This window comes from Homo sapiens, chromosome 2 (assembly GCF_000001405.40).
Source record: "Homo sapiens chromosome 2, GRCh38.p14 Primary Assembly".
NCBI classification, from domain to species: domain Eukaryota; kingdom Metazoa; phylum Chordata; class Mammalia; order Primates; family Hominidae; genus Homo; species Homo sapiens.
In genome coordinates this window covers 187,830,707-187,837,010 of record NC_000002.12, presented here as the reverse complement: position 1 = coordinate 187,837,010, position 6,304 = coordinate 187,830,707, and the positions used below count along the sequence as shown (strand labels likewise).

General features: G+C 36.2%; 1 annotated feature.

Moving 5' to 3' along the window:
• Positions 3,283-3,483: a silencer, noted in NCBI's record as "peak3989 fragment used in MPRA reporter construct". NCBI's record gives its function as "represses an SCP1 promoter by STARR-seq MPRAs in K562 erythroleukemia cells {active_cell/tissue: K562}" and the evidence as "EXISTENCE:reporter gene assay evidence [ECO:0000049][PMID:32103011]".

Genomic DNA, 6,304 nt, shown 5'->3' with positions numbered 1-6,304 from the left:
TCTTCGTCTCTTAAGTCAGTTGAGTAATTTATAATTGTTGCATGTTCTAACAGTTTTCCCCCAAAATACAAATATTTCCAACAATAACTATAATTAAGATTTTTAGCATATAAAACATCAAATTTTTCAAATAATCATGTTGATTGTGGTCCTAAATTAAGTTTATATTGAAGAATATGTGTAAGACTCAAGTCTGTTAGGAAAAATCCTAAATACTTCTCAAATGCTTAATATTGCACTTAACAAAATAATTAATATGCTAAGATATAGGGCTCTTTCTTTAATAGATTGGTGTTTTGTTAATTAGATGCATGAATAATTTAACACATTTAATCTATGATATTTATTATTTAAACTAATTAGATGTATGGGGATTATCCCATTTAATCAAAATATAATTTATTTTAATTATTTCTAGGCAAGTAGTATAGTGTTTAGGATTCACAAAGTTTAACAATCAAAGCATAATATGCTTATTTTATCATTTTTTTTTACTTCTAAACATTTCAGAAACAAAACAAAAAAGTTTCTCAGATCAAATGAGTCACATTAGCAAAATGTAACAAGGAGAAGAATGCAATGAAGTAAAATAACACAAACAATTAACTTTCAAGTGTTGAGGCGTTATTAGAATGCTATTAACTTTCCTGGATATAATTTAGGTGTCAAAGAAAAACATATCTTAAACTGATAGACACTAAAATAGTTTAGTTAATTTTGCCTCAAGAGAAAGCACAAATGGCTTTTCCACTGGAAAAACAAAACAAATGTCATCATATTTGTTTCTTTAAGAAAGTATAAAATTATACAAAATCAATTTTTAGGATTTTATTTAGAAACAAATACCTTAGTGGTCTAAATAATGTAAAAAGGGGGATACTATTTGGAGGTAGCAAATTTTTGTTTCATTAGAGGGTAACTTTATAAAAAAAGTTACTGCCATACTTCTCTTAATGAGATGTTTTTATGTAGATTATTAAATCAGACAGCCTATGAACTCTTTTCTATGTGAGATGCTACAATCAATTATGAGGGGAAATAACAGATTTTATGCAGAGTGGATAGCAGAGGGAAAATTCAGAAAAAATATTAAGGGAGAAAGATGCTATTGCCATAGTCATTCTGTTGGAATCAATAGAATTAAAGGGTATGTATTGCCAAAACAAGTGAATGGAATTACGGGGAGAAACAAGAATATTGCGTTGGCAATACTTGGTGAAATTCAGCATGTACCTCTTCTATGGAAAACTTTTCCCAGATACATACTAGGGAAATTCACCCACAGAAACTTAAAATAGGTATATCTATAAGGATATTCATAGTAACATTATTCATGTGAATGAGAAGTTGAGTATAATTGGAGATTCATACATACAAGGAAACAAAGTAAAATATTGTACAGGTATATGTGGCATGTTATGCAGCAGTTAGAAACTATAAATTTATGTAGAAGAGAGGCAATTTAAAAAATAACAATATATATGTACAACATAAGTGCTTTAGCAACATATCTATTCAAATTAAACACACATACACACCACTATTCCCACCAGCAGCAGCAACCACACTGTGTTTTCACAGATTCATGGCTATTCAAAGACAACAGATGCATTACAGTGCATGCACACTGGAGAAGGGGAATGGGAGTGGGTTTTATGATGGCGTAAGGAAAAAAGCTATGTATCTATAAACATACTATAAATATGGATAAGTCTGAGGTAGGAGGCAGGCAGGCCACAACTCTGGACCAGATTGAAGACTGGCCAAAGCCTAGAAGAGGCACAAAAGACACTTCTCCATAAAACATGCCCAACAGCGCCATGACAGCTTACCATTGCCTTGGCACAAGCAAGAAGTTACCAATCCTTGCCAAGGTAATACCCAGAAGTTACTGCCCATTTTCTAGCTCATTCCAAATAATCTGCCCCTTACTTAGCATACCATTAAAAGCGGGTATAAATGTGACTACAGAACTGCTCCTGAGTCGCTACTCTCCACATACTGCCTATGGGGTAGCCCTGCTTCGGAGGAGCAGTCACAGAGCTGCAGGACTGCTGCCGCCTCAATAAGGCTGTTTTCTTCCACCACCAGCTCGCTCTTGAATTAATACCTGGGTGAAGCCAAGAACCTGCCCTGCATCAAGTTTATGTGTATATAAGTGTACATACATATATATACATATGTATATATAAGTGGCTCTTCTACCTGAATCTCACAGAAGAGTGGCTTCTGTGTTGTGTATGTACCCTGGTATTAAGGTGACTAAGCCACTTCTATCCTTTGTGGACTCCCATATATATTGCAGAGGATTGCAGAACCCTGACCATAACCCCGAATCAGACTCCATAAACAATATTTGGTACTTAAGCAACCAAAGTGATAACTACTCCATTCCTTCATGAGACACTCATCTTTAATTTTTCTCACTGAATTATTCTTAGCACGCTAAATCGAGGTTAATACAATAATTTAACCCTGCTCATGGAGAGTGTAAATGCACAATTACTCTGTGTGTAAACATCTGCAGTACTGTTTTAATGTGCTGACAGTTTCTAATGAAGGTAGCATGTATCTGTTAAAGTTGTAAAAATCACTCTAAATTGGCCAGGCACAGTGGCTCACGCCTGTAATCCCAGCACTTTGGAGGCCGAGGCGGGTGGATCACGAGGTCAGGAGATCGAGACTATCCTGGTTAACACGGTGAAACCCTATCTCTACTAAAAATGCAAAAAATTAGCTGGGCGTGGAGGTGGGTGCCTGTAGTCCCAGCTACTCGGGAGGCTGAGGCAGGAGAATGGCGTGAACCCGGGAGATGGAGCTTGCAGTGAGCCGAGATGGCGCCACCGCACTCCAGCCTGTGTGACCGAGCGAGACTCCGTCTCAAAAAAAAAAAAAAACAAACAAACAAACAAAAAAAAACACTCTAAATTGAGGCTTAATTTATTAATTTTTAAAAACATTTATTAGAGGCTTAAGGACTTCTTAAAACCGAAAAGACACAAATACTCTCATTTCACAGAAGAAGCTTCTGAGGTCAGTGAAACTGCAATGTTTTGACAATTACTAGATAGTAAATTAGGGGCAATCTGAGATTAAAGCCAAATTATTCTATTGCTTCCTTCAGGGATATTTCTACTATAGTATGTTTTATTTTCAGATGTATAGCATATATTTTGCATGTTGTTATTGTTCAAATTATCTTTATACCAGTTGCTACAATTCAGATCTGGAGGGACCTGTAAGGTCATGTAAATGAACAGAAGCAATGAAAACGCATAGGTGTGTATTGTGTGAACAGACGTGAAAACTGTAAAGCAATTTCTCTGCCTAAAGAGAAATCCTCTACTCAGCTCCAGTTGGCTTCTGCCATTGGTGGTGTATGCCAAACGTGACCAGATGTGTTGCTGTTGCTGTTATTCGAATTTGTTTTGTTTTGTTTTGTTTTGTTTGAGACAGATTCTCGCTGTGTCACCGGTGCTGGAGTGCAGTGGCGCCATCTTGGCCCACTGCAACCTCCGCCTCCCGGGTTCAAGTGATTCTCCTGCCTCAGCCTCCCGGGTAGCTGGGACTACAGGCGCGTGCCACACGCCTGGCTAATTTTTTGTATTTTTAGTAGAGATGGGGTTTCACCGTATTAGCCAAGATGGTCTCTATCTCCTGACCTCGTGATCTGCCCGCCTCAGCCTCCCAAAGTCCTGGGATTACAGGCGTGAGCCATCGCGCCTGTCCTTGAACGTGTATTTTTTAAAGTTATCTTTGAAATAACAATTGAGCAAGATAAAGGCCAGACAAAACCCATATGGGAGATGGATTTGGTCTGCAGGCTGCTGATTTTTTTTTTTAATATACTTTAAGTTCTGGGATACATATGCAGAACGTGCAGGTTTGTTACATAGGTATACAAGTGCCATGGTGGTTTGCTGCACCCATCAACCCGCCATCTGTATTAGGTTTTTCTCCTACAGGCTGCCGATTTTTAATTACAACTTATGCAGTCTGTTGTGCAATCATACGGAATAATATCAACATCAATTATTGAATTTAACAACAGCAGTATACTTACCATCACAGTCTTCAGTGCAAGAATCTATTGAAAGAAAATAAAATGCACTAATAAAAGCTTCAAGATAAATGGATGATTATAAAAATTGACTTATCATCATTAAAGTACATTCCTTTAAGGTCTCCAAACACTGCTGTGTATGTGAAATGTTTACTTTAATGCAAACAAAGGTAGAGATAATTAATCTCATTACAAATAATCTGAGAAAATAAACTTGAAACAGGTGATCAATGCAACTATAATTACCTTTGATAATCCATTTATTAATCATATATGTGAATTGTAGATAAATTTCCTTAGCTCTTGATACAATTAAGTACCTTGTCAATTTCTTCATTAATAGTTCAGTGTTGATTGGTAATTTCTTTCAGAATTAGTTATTGATTATCGTGATGCAATGATGCCACTGACAAATAATTATTTTTTAGATGTGGTTGCCCTATGGTATAAAAGTTAATATTCAGTTGAAATGGCAAAATAAACATAAAGTCACTTCTTATTCCTTATCTAGTCGATTCATCTGCCAATGAAATTTGGTTTTCTTGGGCTTTTAATTATACTTAGAAAATAGTTTTAGAGTTATTATATTAGCTTTATATGTCAACATAAGTTTTGTACTAAAACAATGTTTTTAAACTACCCCCCCCCCCCAAAGAAAACCCTAAATGGTGATATGTATTATATAAAAATGGAATCTGTGTTTAAATAATTTTGGGAATGTTACATTCTAGAGGTTCATTTTGCAAAACTAGCATGCCAAAGATTCTGAAGTTTTCTAGCAATGAATCTTTATCCTTATCTTATTTAACAAACTATTTCTCCAGTTTATTTAAGCGGATCATTTTTCCCCTTGATTTTGAGGAAAACAATTTAGAGAATGCTAACTCAGAAGGAAAAAAGTTGCCCAAAGCCATACAACTCATTTAAATTAAGTTCAAAAATGCCTGGCAGATTTTCTGATTCCTACAATATGGCGGCAGAGACGTTAGGCTAAATTATGTCAATATTTTTCCTCAGATGAATATTAAAATCTTTAAAAATTATTCAACTTTTATTATAGGTTAAAGGGCGCATGTGCAGGTTTGTTGCATGAGTGAATTGCATGACACTGAGGCTTGGGGTCTCAATGATCCCGTCACCTAGGCTGTAAGCATAGCACCCAACAGGTGGTTCTTCAACGCATACCCCTCTCCCTTCCTCTTTTGTTTAGAGGTCCCCAGTCTCTACTGTTCACATCTTAATGTTCATGTGTATTCAATGTTTAGCTCCCATGTATAAGTGAGAACATGTGGTATTTGGTTTTCTGTTCTTGCATTAGGTTGCTTAGGGTAATGGTCTCCAGCTGCATCCATGTTTCTGTGAAGGACACAATTTCATTTATGGCCGCCAAATATTCTAAGGTGCATATGTACCACATTTTCTTCATCCAATCTACTGTTGATGAGCACGTAGGTTGATTCCATGTCTTTGCCATTGTGAATACTATGGCAATGAGCATGCGGGTGCATGTGTCCTTTTAATCGAGTGAGTTATTTTCCTTTGGGTATATTCTCAGTAGTGGGATTGCTGGGTTGAATGGTAGTTCTATTTTAGTTCTTTGAGAAATCTCCAAACTGCCTTCCACAGTGGCTGAAGTAGTTTGCATTCCCACCAACAATGTATAAGTATTCCTTTTTCTCTGCAGCCTCACCAGCATCTGTTATTTGCCTTTTTAATAATCAACATTCTGACTTTTGTGAGATGGTATCTCATTGTGGTTTTGATTTGCATTAAAAGAAAATGTCTTAATCATGCTAAATTTTCTTTGTTAGAAGCATGCAAATTTGTAATATTCACCAATTCACCAATTTTAATTCGTCAAAAATTTCACAAGTGCTAAAGACGAAATTTTTATAAAATTAGCATTATCAAGGGAAATAAATTGTGAATCAGTGAAACATGAAAGTTTGCCTGTAAATTTTCAAGCATAATTAGATTGGTTTAGTAGTATAGAAAATGGTAAAATTAAAAAGTGAAAGCATCTGTTCATGTCATCCTCCACCTTCTGAAGGGGATTATGCAAATTGCCCAAGAAAGCACAGATTTAAATAGACCCCCAAACTCTCTACAGATACTGCCTTGTTTGAGGTCACAACTGCCTTCCTATATCTAGGCAGGACATGAGACAGTTGCAGGACACCATTTCTTCCAGCTGATTATGGCTCTTACCCAGAAGTGGGGACATGAGAACTTTTCTGGCTA